This window comes from Homo sapiens, chromosome 7 (assembly GCF_000001405.40).
Source record: "Homo sapiens chromosome 7, GRCh38.p14 Primary Assembly".
Classification (NCBI taxonomy): domain Eukaryota; kingdom Metazoa; phylum Chordata; class Mammalia; order Primates; family Hominidae; genus Homo; species Homo sapiens.
Window position 1 is genome coordinate 131,329,785 of NC_000007.14, and position 15,854 is coordinate 131,345,638.

The window sequence follows — 15,854 nt, forward strand, 5'->3', positions numbered from 1 at the left end:
TGCAGTGGGCAGAACACTAGTTTTGGAGTTAGAAAGCAACAATTTGAGATTGGAGAAATACATTGCTGCAATTTTCTCAAGTACATACATAAAATAGTATTTAATACATACGTAACTTTCATACACTTCCACTTACTATATCTTGTTTAATCCTTATGACATTCTATTGACAAATGCAGTATAATTTGTATTTAAAGTAAAGTATTAGAAGAGTAATCTAAGCTTTTTTCTTTGAAGGAGTATAGTTGAGTATTATGGAGCTGGAGTTGGAGAATATTGTGTCTGCTGGGTTGGTGTGTGCCATGCCTAAATTATAAAACTCTTGGCTCTGAACTTCTATAAGCAAGCAAGGATATTACTTCTCTGTGTGACAGAAGATGTAGGAAAGGGGTTGACTTTACTTACCTTTGCCCTAAAATCCCCTCTAGCAGCAATTGTTGTATCTTTACTGGCAGTGGAAACCATATTAAGGTACTTCTTAAACAGGTCTCATTTTAGGTTAAAGACATTTGTTGAAATTGTCCACAAAGTGGCAAATATTTGTTGGCATAGATCTAAGCATTTCGAGGTGGCAGTAATAAATCAGTAACAAAAATGGTAAACATTTATGATGTGCCGTCCATTTGCTAGGCTCTCTTATGAACATTTTTAAGTGTATCAACTCATTTAATCCTTACCGCAATCCCAAGAGGAATCTCCGTTTGCCAGATGTTGGAAGCAGGTAGGGAGAAGTTTAAACTTGCCTAAGGTCACACAGCTAGATGGAACCAGAATTTGAATCAAGGTAGTCAGGCTCCACAGTCTGTGGTCTTTAACTATAGTGTTTTACTGCTTCTGCACAAAGGTATATATAGTACAGGAAATCAGAACTTTAAAAGAGCTCTTGTATTAAAGGCACTTACATTTTAGTTGTGTAAAGAAATGTGAAGTCATTAAAAAAAATTGAACAATTTTATCTCTATTTTCTTTCTAAGGACTTAGAATTCTTTTCCCCTTCTTCCAGAGGCAGAAAAAACAAATATTTCCCCTTTCAACTCTTTTTAATTTATTTGGACTTTAAAAATGTTAAAGCAGATTCAGTTATAGGGAACACATTTTTACTTTGAGACTAAAAAAAGGCCTTTTATTTTTGTGTGCTTAGAGATTGCCTGTATTTTACTTTTTTTCTGAAATTTACACCTAATTTAATAATTAAATACACTTATTTAAATAATTCATAAAATTACATATACTCTTATACATAAAAATATTTTGTAAACTGCTAATCCCTGTACTCAAATGTTTATTTTTGTATCTAATAATGATGCTAGTTACAATTTAGTGAGCACCTAATATATGCAAGATGCTTTTTGTATACAGTTTTGTTTAATTCTTGGTACATACCTGTAAGATAGGTATTTTATATATGTTTTGTGGAGGATGAAACTGAGGTCCATACAGGGTAAGTAGCTTGCCCAGGGTCATATAGTTTTCCAGAGGCTTGCCAGGTTTTCTGACTTAAAAACTATTGCATTGTGACTTTAATAACAGTCACCACTTATTGAGTACTTTCTATTCTTCAGGCACTGTACTGAGCATTTAGCATGTGTTCTTTGATATAATAGTCTTCACAAAAACCCTATGAGATAAATATTATTATTCTATTTTAGAGCTAGGAAAAGTGAGATTTAGGGAGGTAAGTTAACTTGCCCAGGTCTAAGAGTTGAAAATGTAAGAGGGGCAGGGCAGGGTGGCTCACACCTGTAATCCCTGCACTTTGGGAGGCCAAGGCAGGAGGATCACTTGTGCCCAGGAGTTTGAGACCAGCATGGGCAACACAATGAGACCCCATCTGCAATAATAATAATGATGAGGAGGAAGAAAATGTAGGTGATAAGGTTCTCATATTGGGCCTTTTGACTTCTGTTACGAAAGCTGTTCATTATTATACATGGCTATTGTATATGTCTAATTGAGATTACAGATAAGCGCTCTAAGGTTAGAACAGCAAGAGAGGGAAAAATAGATTTTATCTTGATGTTTAAGATTTTAGTATACTCATATGAGAACTGGGAGAAACTTTGAAAGTATTTTTTACATATTAGGTAATTTCATTGGTATAGAATGATTCTTATCTTGTTTACATATTATTGAATGACTTAGATAATTTAGATGATAAAATCTGATAGATTTTTAAGTGTGTTTACCTTTTTCCTGTTAGTCTTATTACTTAAAATCAAATAGTACTTAAAATAGTACCTTGTGTCAACATGTGATTGATTCATGGTTCAGAGTACAAGTGTTATGATTTGACAACTAGAATAGAAGGTGAATTTATTTCAACTCTTTTCAAAACTAATTTTAAAATTTCACATTTAAAAATGAATATAGGCTAGGCACGGTGGCTCATGCCTGTAATCCTAGCACTTTGGGAGGCTGAGGCAGGACCATCACTTGAGACCAGGAGTTTGAGACCAGCCTGGGAAACATACCCCATCTCTACAAAAGAAAAAAAATATATAAATATTTATATATTTTTATTACATAAAATATATGTGCATAGTTATATATTATTATGTTAAAAATATGTAAATATATATATATTCTTTTCTTCTTTGTCTCTACAAAAGAAAAAGACAGCATCTCGTCAATACCCCATGTCTAAGAAAAAAATAGACACTTTTTATATCATATATATTAAAATATATTTTATATATCTTTTAATATATATTTTGATGTAAAAAATGCTCTATGTTTATTATCGAATATTTGTAAAATATGGACCCACAGAAACAAAATTTAAATTACCCTTGATATCACTACCTAAAGATTACTAGTCACCCTTTAAATACTGTTTATTATCATTCCAGATCTTTTACTGTAGATGTATGTATTTTTCAATTTACTGTTGTCCTGTTTGCTGTTCTGTATTTGCTTTTTCCTCCTTAACATATAGTAAATACTTCCTTATGTTATTAAATATTCTTCTATATTGTATTTTTTTTCTTTTTTTTTAAAGGGACAGGGTCTTGCTCTGTCACCCATGCTGGAGTACAGTGGCATGATCATAGTTCACTGCAGCCTCGACCTCCTGGGCTCAAGCGATCCTCCAGCCCCAGTTTCTCAAGTAGCTGGGACTACAGGCACATGCCATCACGCCTGGCTAATTTTTTTTTTTTAGATGGAGTCTCGCTGTGTCACCCAGACTGGAATTTAGTGGCACCATCTTGGCTCACTGCAAACTCTGCCTCCTGGCTTCAAGCAATTCTTGTGCCTCAGCCTCCTAAGTAGCTGGTATTACAGGCGTGCACCACCACGTCTGGTTAATTTTTGTATTTTTGGTAGAGACACTGTTTCACCATGTTGGCCAGGCTGGTCTTGAATTCCTGACCTCAAATGATCCACTTGCTTTGGCCTCCCTAAGTGCTGGGATTACAGGCATGAGCCACCATGCCCAGCCAACCATGCCTGGCTAATTTTTTAAATTTTTTTGTAGAGATGGGGTCCCACTATGTTGCCCAGGCTGGTCTCCAGCTCCTGGGCTCAAGTGATCCTCTCACCTCAGTGCCCCAAAGTGCTGCGATTGTAGGTGTGAGCCACTGTGCCCAGCCAAAATTTATTATGGATACATTATATTCCATGTAATGACTTTATGTCATTTTGTTTAATTGGTCCCGTGTTATTAGACATTTAGGCTTTGTGGTTTTATTTTATTTTCATTTGTGTTTCTTGTTATTTGACTATTATGAGTCATGAGGTAGTTTTGCTTTACAGAAATTTTTTTTTTTTTGAAACGGAGTTTCGCTCTTATTGCCCAGGCTGGAGTGCAATGGCGCAGTCTCGGCTCACCGCAACCTCTGCCTCCCGGGTCCAAGCGATTCTCCTACCTCAGCCTCCCAAGTAGCTGGGATTACAGGCATGTGCCACCATACCCAGCTAATTTTTTGTATTTTTAGTAGAGACGGGGTTTCTCCGTGTTGGTCAGGCTGGTCCCGAACTCCTGACCTCAGGTGATCCGCCCACCTCGGCCTTCCAAAGTGTTGGGATTACAGCCACCACACCCAGCCTGGAAAAAAATTTTGAACTCATTGGTGATAAATTCCTAGATGTTGAGTTGCTGGATTAAAGGTATCAGTTTATTTTCCTTCTATCTGTGTAGACTACTCTGAGTTCATTTTGGCATTATCCTTGGTAATTTGGAAGAAAACATATTTAAATCAGAGACAGGTCCGTAGAGATGTCTAGAGGATGCTTATATAATTCAAAAGTGATAATGCTCCCAATAACTTTTTTGTTTCTTCCTTCTCTATCCCTTTACTTTAGCTTTTAAGTGAATTTTGATTTTATTAATCACATATAGTTGAAAAATAGAATATATTTATTGTATTTGGTGTACAGATAATGGTGGTTATGAAAATGGATTTGAGGTCTTGTTACAATAATTCTGTAGGCTCCTGCAACCCAGAATTTGTGAACCACTAGTTTGGAGGCATGCAACTCCCAGGAGACCGGATACTATTATGCCCTTCCTTTTCTCCCTTTTCTCCCTATCTTAAACTGAGATTTAAGGACACTGGCCCTGTTTGGGAACCTTACTGGCCACTGAAAGTTCTGTGTTTTTCAGTCTGGGACTCTTAGAACTTCAGAAAAATAAAAACACTCAAGATGGAAGAAATGTACTCAGGATGAGAATTTGAGTCTACAGAGCTGATTCCTAGAATTAGATATTTGTGACTTTTGGCAAGTTATGATTCTTTTCTGAGCGTCAGTTTCTTGTGTAGAAATACTTTTTATCTTGATCAAATGTTGAGAGGTTTATGTACAATTTTTTGGGCACATGGGTAAATGGTTCTATTATTTGCGTTAACTTTTAGGTAAATATTTAAATAGATTTTTAATAAATGATTTTTGGCCTGATACAAAGACTTTGTGATGTTTTACGTGTAGATAAGATACATTTCAGCCACTTGTGGCAATGAGTTTGCTGTATTTCAGTCATTCAAAAATCGTTTTTGGAAATATGAAAGATTTTCTAGACTTTAATTTTAGAGATACAGCTATTTATAGACATTTTAATATGTATAAAATGTTTCAAAGAATGTACAGTTGAGAATTTAGAGATCCCTAATTACTGTTTGTTTATAATACCATTTGTCAGAAATCTCTGATAAGAGACAATAGAAAATTTATAAAATTTCTAGGTCTTTATAGGTTCAATCTTAGGATAGTTGATCCGGGTATCTTCTCTGCTACCGGATTTCCCAGGGCTTGTTTTGTGAATGGCTGGTTCTGTAGATTGTTGCTTATTAAGGGGTGGTCAGATAAAGCTCTGAGAAGTCCAGCAGTATTAAAATCTATTAATATGGGGGACTTTTGAAGAAAATATTTTTTAACATCTTTGCACATTGGGAAGATGTTTCAGTTAGAAAATTTTTTTGTTGTTGTTTAATGAGAACTTCAGGACTTGGTTACGAATATTTCTAAAAATCTGTGAAGTCAAAGTAACATTCTGTAGAATACTGTGTATGTATATTTATGCTGTAGATAAACAAAGATATTGTTTGTTTAATGGGTTTTGCTTATGATGAAATTTTACTGATTAAGATTAATCCATGTTTAAAAAAGTATACAAAGAGAAAGGAAATATCATAGTCATTATCTAGGAATAATTTAAGTAGTCTAATATAAATCTGTCCCTAAAAAAGTTGTTGAATGGCAGCTAACTAGATTGAAGTACCCTAACATAACTTATATTTTGAATTGGTTGTTAATAATAATTGGAAAACTAGGCTATGTTTAGTCCTAAGACTATAGGGTTTCCTCTCAACACATTTTAGCTGTATCCCACAAATTGTGGTATGTTACATGTTCATTATCATTTATGCAAAAATGTTTTTCAGATTTTATTTTGGCTTATTCTTTGACCTGTAGGTTTTTTTTTTTTTTTAACAAATGTATTGCTTACTTTTTGAACGTTTGGGGATTTGCTAGTTATCTTTCTGTTACTAATTTCTTAATTTCACTATGATTAGAGAACACACTCTGAATAGTTTCAGACCTTTATTGATACTTATTTTATGGCTCAGCATTTTTATAAATGTTTATGTACCCTTGAAAAGACTATGCATTCTGCTGTTAACTACTGTCTTCTATGTACTTTGTTAAGTTCAAGTTTGTAAATTGTGTTATTGTGTTGTACAAATCTTCTCTATCCTTACTGAATTTTTTTTTTTTTGCCTTTTTTTCTATTCATTACAGAGAGAGGTGTCTTGAGGTTAAGTGTCAAATGTGTCTTACTGTGATTGTGGATTTGTATATTTCTCCTTTTAGTTCTATAAAGAACTAAACTGTATGCTTTATGTATTTTGAAGTCATATTACTAGGCACATACAAACTTATCTTTCTAGTACATTGGCTCTTTATCATTATAACATGTCCCTTTTTATCTCTAGTAACACTTGTCTCTCGCCTCAAAGTCTTCTTAGCTACACCTGCTTTATTTTGGCTGCTGTTTGCTTGCATGGTAAAACTTTCTCTCTCCTTTTTGCTTTTAATGCTCCTGTAGCTTTATATTTGGGGTCTGTTTCTTGTTAAGAATAAACAGATTTTTGTTTGCCTGTTTTTAATTAAATCTGAAATATATTTAGCTCATTAATGGTAAATATAATTATTGATAAATTTGGGTTTATGTCTGTCATTTTATTGTTTTCTGTTTGTCCTACTTGTTCTATATTCTATTTTCTCTCCATTGTTGCCTTCTTTTGGATTAATCAAGTGTTTTAAAAATATTATTTTATTCCTCCCTTTGTTAGCTTGTTAGTTATATATTCTGTTACTGTTCTTTTGGTGGTTACGCTAGATCACCACAAGCTTTCTTGTGGTACATTAGAGTTGCATATTCATTAGGATTTTGAAAAACAACATCTCAGACATTGTTAGGACCCTAGAAAACTTTAATAGCATTTATCACTCTCCTGCTTTTATGTTGTCATTGTCATGCATTTCACGTCTACATTTAAATCCAGAGACTGTTGTTTTGTACAGTTAATATTTACCCTTTCCATTGTTCTTTATTTCCTTTTGTATTTACATGCTTCCATCTGAGATTAATTTTCCTCTGTCTGAAGAACTCCTTTTAGGGAGTTTGGTGGTACTGAATTCTCAGTTTTTGCTTGTTTGAAATTTATTTATTTTCATCTTTGAAGAATATATTAAATGACTGTACAGTTCTACATTATTAGCTGTTATTTTCTTGAAGCACTTTAAAGATCTCAGTTCATTGTCTTCTAGCTTCCATTGTTTCTGTTGCAAAATCAGCCGTCAGACTTACTGTTGCTTCTTGGAAGGTAGTATGACTTTCTTGTTCAGCTGCCTTTCTTTTTGTCATTCTCTTTTTCTTTAAGTTTAAACAGCTTTCAGTGATGCACCTAAGAATGGTTTTGTTTGTACCCTGTTTGGCGTTTCTGGCACCTCTTGAATTTGTAGTATGACTGATCAGCTGTGAAAAAATTTTGACTTTTTAAAAATATTGTTTCTGCCCCATTTTTGTCTCCTTTGCTCTGTGACTCCAATTAAATCTTTATTATACTTTTTATCCCCCATATGTCTCCTGCTCTCTTCTGTTATTTTTATGATTTTTTTCCTCCTCTTATCCGTTCTGGATAGTTTTTACTTGACTGTATTTCAGTTCACTTATTCTGAATTTAACTATGTCCAATCTGCTTTTTAACCCCATCTATTCTTAATTTTAGTTATAGTATTTTTTAGTTTTAGAATTATTTCATCCTCTCTTTTTAAGATAGATTCTAATTATGTGAAAATCTCTTGTCATGTATTTTTTGAGCATATTAATCAAATTGCTTTAAAGTCTGTGTCTGAAAACTTCAATATCTGTATCACCTATAGGCCTATTTCCATCATCTCTTTCCTTTTGATTTTGCATCTTGTTAGGCCAAATAATAATAATAGTTAATATATTTGTATATTAATGTATGTTAATTATATATTCTATTGTATATTATATAAATTATTACATGTGGATAATAACATAATAGTAATAATTATTATTAGGCAATTTTTTGATGGAGTGCCAGACATTATATGCAGAATTTTAGATACAAATTTTGTATCTATAATGATACATTTCCCCAGATAGGATTCACATGTCTTCAGATTCACCCATCTTCTTGCAGGCAGATAGAGATCACTGCAACTGTCAAGGACTGAGCTGACTTGAGGTTGGGTTTTCAGCCTTATAAACCTTGTTCTACCTGTAGTTTGCTTCCAACTTGGTAGCCCCCTAGAGATCTCAATTAAGAGATTGGGTATTTTTAGGGCTTCTCTGGCTTTTTTTCTTTCCAGACCCATGAGAGTTTTAAAAGCTCCTTCTTCCTTTTTAATTGCTTTCTGCTGGCTTTTTAGCCTTTTGCTATGTGCAGTTTAAAAGCTGATAAATCCCTTAAGAGGAAAATCAGTACTGAGTGTCACATTTGTTCTTCTGTGCCTTCTTTCACTAGGGGATCTTGACTCCTCAAGACTTAGCTACCAAGTTTTGTCCCCCTACTCCCATGAAATTGCCAAAAGCTTTGCTGACTTCTCTGCCTCCTAGTGGCTGTCCTTTTTTGGCTTCTTAGCCCCTTGGCCTGTGCCATTAAAGAAATAGGTGACATGTCTTGAAAGGGAAAGCTGCACAGAATGTCAGATACCCTTCAGTGAGTTTCTTGCCACCTCAAGTCTTAGCTACCTCAGAAAGTCTGATATTTTAAGAACTTTCTCCCTATTTAATACAGTTTTTCTAGTTTAAGAGGGAGTGTTGATCTGCTACAGACTATTCCGTCATATTCAAAAGCAGAAATCTTTCTGTGTTTAGTTCTTTTGGAATAGAGTGTTATATCTTGTAGGCCTGTGAGTTTCTCATGGTTATATTAATGTAAAAACGTACGACTTGATCCCCAGAGTTCTTTGGTCTCTTGCTAAGTGTTTTCCTTCATTAACTGCTTATTCTTGCTATCTGATGGGAAAGAATTGTGGAACTTAAATACAGTTGACCCTTGAACAACATGGATTTGAATTTGCAGATCTACTTACACGTGATTTTCTTCTGCTTCTGCCACCTTGAGACAGAAAGGTCGATCCCTTCTCTTTCTCCTTCTCAGCCTACTCAACGTGAAGATGACAACAATGAAGACCTTTGTGATGATCCACTTCCATTTAATGAATAGTAAATATTTTTTCTCTTCCTTATAGTTTTCTTAATAACATTTTCCTTTCTCTAGCTTATTGTAAGAATATAGTATGTCATACACGTAACACATGAAATATGTGTTAATTGTCTATTCATGTTATTGATAAGGCTTCTAGTCAACAGTAAGCTATTAGCAGTTAAGTTTTATGGGAGTCAAAAGTCATACATGGCTTTTTCAACTGCATGGGAGTTGGCGCCCCTAGGCCCCACATTGTTCAAGGGTCAACTGACTGTAACATGATTTGTTAGCAGTTGTTTTATTCTTGTTCTTAGCCAAAAAACTGAGAAGTTATTGTTAAGCAGTTGTTTTAAATGCTTATTAAGAGTTAAAATGAGATTTTATTTTTGGTTTCATTGGTGATTTGCACATTTCTTTTGAGACTTACTTGTTTATAAGGTTAAGAAATTGAGAGTTGGTCGGGTGCACTGGCTCGTGCCTGTAATCCCAGCACTTTGGGAGGCCGAGGTGGGTGGATCACTTGAGGTCAGGAATTCAGCCTGGCCAACATAGTGAAACCCCGTCTCTACTAAAAATACAAAAATTAGCAGGATGTGTTGGTGCATGCCTGTGCTCCCAGCTGTTTGGGAGGCTGAGGCACGAGAATTGCTTGAATCCAGGAGGTGGAGGTTGCAGCGAGCTGAGATCGTGCCACTGTACTCCAGACTGGGTGACAGAGGGAGACTCAGTCTCCAAAAAAAAAAAAATTGAGAGTTTAATCTTTCTATAAGTATAGTATTTCCCTTCATATAATAGGATTTTTAAATTATTTACCTTTTTGTTAGGACTTTTATGGAATCTTATATTTATGTGAAGATGTAGGTTTAGAAGGAAGATAATTGGGTTTGGTGTAAACTTTGGTTTTGTAAATGTTAGTATTTAATACTTTAAAAATATTCCTACTTTTTTTTTTAGTATGACTAATATTTATTATGGCCAGTATCACCTATGTATTTTTTGTTAAAGAAGTTGTCTTATATACATAGAAATGGTATAATAAGCTACTTTAAACAACCCTGGATATGTTTCTTTTCCCTTCCTGTCACTGTCCTCTTTCTTCCCTTTTCCCTTTTGATTAAGAAGTTCCATCAGAAAAGTCATAAAATCTAACTCCTGTTTATTCTCGAGCTATCAGCTAAAATGTCACTTTCTCAGGAAATCCTGCCTGACCCCCCTTTCCCCTTTGTTCTGGCACCCATTCCCCTGGCCTTTAAATGCTTTCATAGCAGTGTGTACCTATCTATCATTTTTTACAGTTTGTAATTACGGCTTTTTTTTTTTTTTTTTTTTTGAGATGGAGTCTCGCTTTGTCGCCCAGGCTGGAGTGCGTGGTGCGATCTTGGCTTACTACAACCTCTGCCTCCCAGGTTCAAGCAATTTTCCTGCCTCAGCCCCCCCAAGTAGCTGGGACTACAGGTGCGCACCACCACGCCTGGCTAATTTTTGTATTTTTAGTAGAGGCGGAGTTTCATCATGTTGGCCAGGCTGGTCTCAAACTCCTGACCTCAGGTGACCCACCTGCCTTGGCCTCCCAAAGTGCTGGGATTACAGGCGTGAGCCACCGTGCCCGGCTTCCTGTAATTATGTATTAAAATGTATAATTACTTGATTAATAGCTATCTTCCCAACTAGACCAAAAACTCCATAGAATGTATGGAATTTTCCTCCATCATCCTTGTAGTCCAAGCATAATATTTATTAAATGAGTAAATGAGTGAATTAACTAGCCATTTTGATTAATTTTCTCTTTTTAGTGCAGTTTTGGTTTAGGACTGTAAGGAGTCATACTGGCCATATTCAGAATGTCACATTAGTGTTTTAAGTCCATTCTGTATTTTTTTCAATGAGTTTCAGCAAAATCTGAGAGTGTCTTAAGTGAAATTGGTTATATCTAGGGTGGAGGTATTATATTTGGAAAGACTTGTAACAGTAGAAAGCTTTTTATTTAAATCTTTGAGTTTTAAAATATTTTTATTATGAAGTTATTTATGATTTTATAGGTAATATTTTTAATGAGACCTTGAAAAATTTATAGAGTGCAGTTTATTACAGAATCTGAGTTGCCTAATAGTTTTTAATAGTTTTTGAGTATCAGTATTTTGATTAATTTTAAGTTAGGGATCATTTCCTCTAATTCTTTGAACATAATTATTTGTTGGTTGATTTTTTTTTTTAATGTAACAGTGTTTTTGAGATGTAATTTATGTACCATACGGTTCTTCTACTTTAGGGTATTAGATTCATGGATTTTTTGTACATTCACAGATGTGACCGTCATTGCAGTCAATTTTAGAACATTTTCATAATCTCAAAAGGAAAACTGTAGCCTTTGGCTATTATCCACTTATTCTTCCATCCCTGAGCAACCACTAAACTACTTTTGGTGTGTATAGATTTGCCTATTTAAGACATTTTCTATAAATGGAATCATATAATTTATGGCCTTTTGTGATTGGCTTCCATTTAGGATGTTGTTTTCAAAGTTTATATTGTATCATGTATCAGTACTACATCCTTCTTATTGCTGGTAAGTATTCTGTTGTATCGATATACCACATTATGTTTAGCCGTTTATTAGTACAGTGGTCCCCAACCTTTTTGGCACCAAGGACTGACTTTGTGCAAGGCAGTTTTTCCATGGATGGGGTGTGATGGGGGAGGATGGTTTCAGAATGAAATTGTTCCATTTCAGATCATCAGGCATTAGATTCTTATAAGGAACAAAACCAAAACAGCAACAACAACAGTGATTCTCATAAGGAGCACCCAACCTAGATCCCTTGCATGTGCAGTTCATAGTAGGTTGGTGCTCCTATGAGAGTCTAATGCCTATGCTGATCTGACAGGAGGCAGAGCTCAGGCAGTAATGCTTGCTAACCCACCGCCACTCACCTCCTGCTGTGCATCTCAGTTCCTTACAGGAACCAGTACTGGTCTGTGGCCTGGGGGTTTGGGATCCCTGCATTAGTTGATAGACATTTGGATTATATCCACTTATTGGCTATTATGAATAATGCTGCTATAATAAACATTCATACAAGTTTTTTGTGGACATGGTTTCATTTCTTGGGTATATGTCCAGCAGTGGAATTTCTGGGTCATTTGCTAACTATGATTTCGTTATTGGAGAAACTGCCAGATTTTTTGTTGATTTTTTTTTTTTTCTGTTATTATGTAGTGTCAAGAAACCGTTTAATGCATATGAATTGAAGCCCTGTAAGGAAAGTGATCATTTGGGATTAGATCGCAAATTGCTTGACTTCAAATGTATTACTTTGAGAATTTTCTGTGACAGTTTAGCTAGTCCTTTATCTTCCTTATTTTTCTTGAGAATACATGAATTAGCTCCCTGCCTTCATATTTGAAGATACATACCTATCAGTGTACAGACATGTACACACATAGGTACACATATAATACTTTGCTAAGCAGTTTGTGCTGGGGACAATAGTTGAAACTCGGTGTTTTTTCCTAAAATTTATATCGTTTGTTTATATATGAAATATCAAATGGGAGATATTTTTGGAAGCAGTGAAACTTGTTTATGAATTCTTTCCTTACACAAAAGAAGACAGGTTTTTTAAAAACAAATTAATCTTTTTCTCTTTGTTTCTTTCAGCATTGATGACTGGGAAGTGAGAGACATAGATTTTTGAAAAGCTGAAAATAACTTCTAGTTTAACAAAATAGTTTCTTCCAGAGCTTAGAATTTCAGATGATTGGAAAATTCATACATCTAGGTCTGAAAGTTTAAGTCTTTCGCATCTATGGAGATCTCTATTTTCTACAACCTAAAATGCTATGATGGGTGACAGGTTAAAGACAAACCTTTTTAAAAAATGTATATTTTTATTGCTATATAGTGGTATTATGGCTTTTGAAATTCCTATTTTTACCATAAACAGATTATTAGGTGCTTACTGATTCCAGATAATAGCCTAATCTATTAGAAGGTAGAAGAGAGAATCTCTGGTGATACACTGTCCATACATGGTTCAATAGGAGGTAGCAAAGGCTAAGTATGAGTAAGTGACAAAAGCAGTAAATGCTGCAGAACTGAAATTCAGAGAATTGCGCTTCCACTGTTGGGTAAGGCTTAAGGGGAGACTTTGAAAGAGGAAGATGAGCTATGCCTTCCTTTGGGTACTGATTTAATTTCTTTTGCCATTTTTTTGCATTTCTTGAATGTAGGAATTTATCCTTACCCATGTGCATATTCATCAGCTCCAATTTAGGAGATTGACTAGTGTAGCACGTCATAACCAGAAAGATACTTGGAGGTAGACTTTTCCCTAAAGTTTATACAAGACACTTAATGGGCTGGGTCCTTGATCATGTACTTCTTTCTTAGACTTTGTGTATATGAAGTGGTGTTCTTATCCTTATTTCTTTCCACATTCACCCTTTTTAATGCTTTTAGTAAGTCTTTTCAGTTTTTGTTAAGATTTATTTTATAGTTACACTATTGTATTTATTGAAGGTAGCTTGGCTGATACTGTTCCAAAGTCACTTGCCACTTTCCTCTCTGCATAATTAACATTTATTCTCCTCATTATTTGTCAATGAATTCCCTTCTGTTTATTTATAGTTTCTTTATGATTCTGCATATCAGAAGATAACAAGCACTTATCACAAATGCATTTAGGGGATGTACTACTCTGTAAAAAATTTAAATATATTGAAAATAGAACTCTTTGAATTTTATTTTACTCTTTTGAGGAAATGAAGATATCTTGATTTTTTTTATGGTATTCTAACCTGCTTTTCCGGGGCATACAGGGCAGCACTTATTTTTATATAAATCTGAGAATGTGTGAATTGCAAATTAATCTTCTGGCAGATATCTAATGCTGTTGATAGAGATGTGTTGCCCTAAGATTTATTGGATTTAATGAGACAGTCTTTTGATATATCCTTGAATTATGATGGGATATTGGGTTGCCACATGTAAGTTTTAGAATATTTTTTAATGATATAGAGAAAATGCTTCAGATACAATGGCATGTAAAAGAGAAAACAGCAAAAAAACCCTGATTTTAAAACGGTTTGATTCAATTTATATTTTAAAAACACAGACACATGATTTGTATGCCTGTGTATATAGAAAAGATTGCAAGGATATTTACCAAAATATTAAGTGATTATCTCTGGGTTGTAGTAATTGGGGTGATTTTTATTTTTTAAGTGCCTTTTCTTTGGGTATTGCCTGAAATGTTAAATATTATCTCATTTTAGCAAATAATAAATACTACTTTTAACTAAGAAAAAATAGAGAATTGTTGTGTTTGTGTGAATTGCTTTGATTATAAACACAAATTATATAGGATCCTATGTCCCATGTTAGTGAGTTTCTTTTTGTTTTTTTAAAGTGAGGAGCTATCAAAGGATTTTTTAATAGAAAAGTGATGTGAATAAAGTTAAGTCTATGGTTTAAAATTAAAAATTTTAAGTACTCTTATGACCCAGCAATTTCAGTTTTTAGTAGCTAATTTTGAGTATCATCAAATTCAGGCATGCTTATCCCTGGGATTACACGTAGACCTTCCACTGGGTATGCGGGCAAAAATAGTTTTAAAATACTCAGTTTCCTAAGCCTTACTGTTCTTGTGTATTCTTTCCTAAAATTGATCTGCCTAAGAACTTGCCTGTGGCTTATGCCCTTGCTCCTCAAAAGTGTGGTCTATTCACCAGCAGTATTGTTATTGCTGGTTGTTTGTTAAATGCAAAAAACGTGGTTCTCAATTCTTTTAAACAAAATAAAAGGAGGACCTAATCAATTTGTCAGTTGATGGATCATAAATAATTTTTTTTTTTTGAGCTGGATCTTGCTCTGTTGCCCAGGCTGGAGTGCAGTGGCGCCATCTTGGCTCACTGCAGCCTCCACCTCCTGGGTTCAAGCGATTCTCCTGCCTCGGCCTCCCGAGTAGCTGGGATTACAGGCACGCACCACTGCGCCTGGCTAATTTTTTTTTGTATTTTTAGTAAAGACGGGGTTTCACCATGTTGGCCAGGCTGGTCTCGAACTCCTGACCTCAGGCGATCCACCCGCCTTGGCCTCCCAAAGTGCTGGGATTACAGGCATGAGCCACCGCACCTGGACTGATAGATCATAAATATTTTTAATGATAGCTCGTTATGCGATTTTTGGCATGTAATTTGGAAGGTGGTAAAAAAAATTAGTAGTACAGGAACAGTCCAGGTTGAGTATCCCTTACTTGAAATGCTTAAGACCGGAAGTGTTTTGGATTTTGGAATTTTTACGATTTTGGAATATTTGCATTATGTTAATATATACTTAGCAGTTGAGCATCCCTAATCTGAAATTTGAAGTCTGAAATGCTCCCATGAGCATTTCCTTGCAGTGTCATGTCAGAACTCAAAAAGTTTTCAGATTTTGGAACATTTCTGATTTTGGGTTTTCAGATTCTCAAACTGTAGTAACAGAAATTCCTTCAGCTCCCTTGTATTTATTTATGTGAGCAAGGGAGGATCATAGAGTCCAGAAGTTGGAGAATAGCTTGGGTAACATAGCGAGACCTCTTCTCTACAAAACGTTAAATTAGTCGGGTGTGGTGTTGTGCTCCTGTAGTTCTAGCTACTTGAGAGGCTGAGGCTTGAGGATCACTTGAGCCC

General features: G+C 34.9%; 1 protein-coding gene and 1 long non-coding RNA gene across 7 annotated transcripts in view; both read left to right on the forward strand.

The window, feature by feature from the left end:
• MKLN1 (muskelin 1) overlaps positions 1-15,854 on the forward strand; it is a 386,539-nt gene that overhangs the window by 219,691 nt on the left and 150,994 nt on the right. The gene's annotated exons all lie outside the window — the stretch shown is intronic.
• Positions 9,861-14,490, forward strand: LOC124901747 (uncharacterized). Its single transcript, XR_007060525.1, has 2 exons — positions 9,861-11,604; positions 12,841-14,490. It is a non-coding gene; the product is annotated as an uncharacterized LOC124901747 (long non-coding RNA).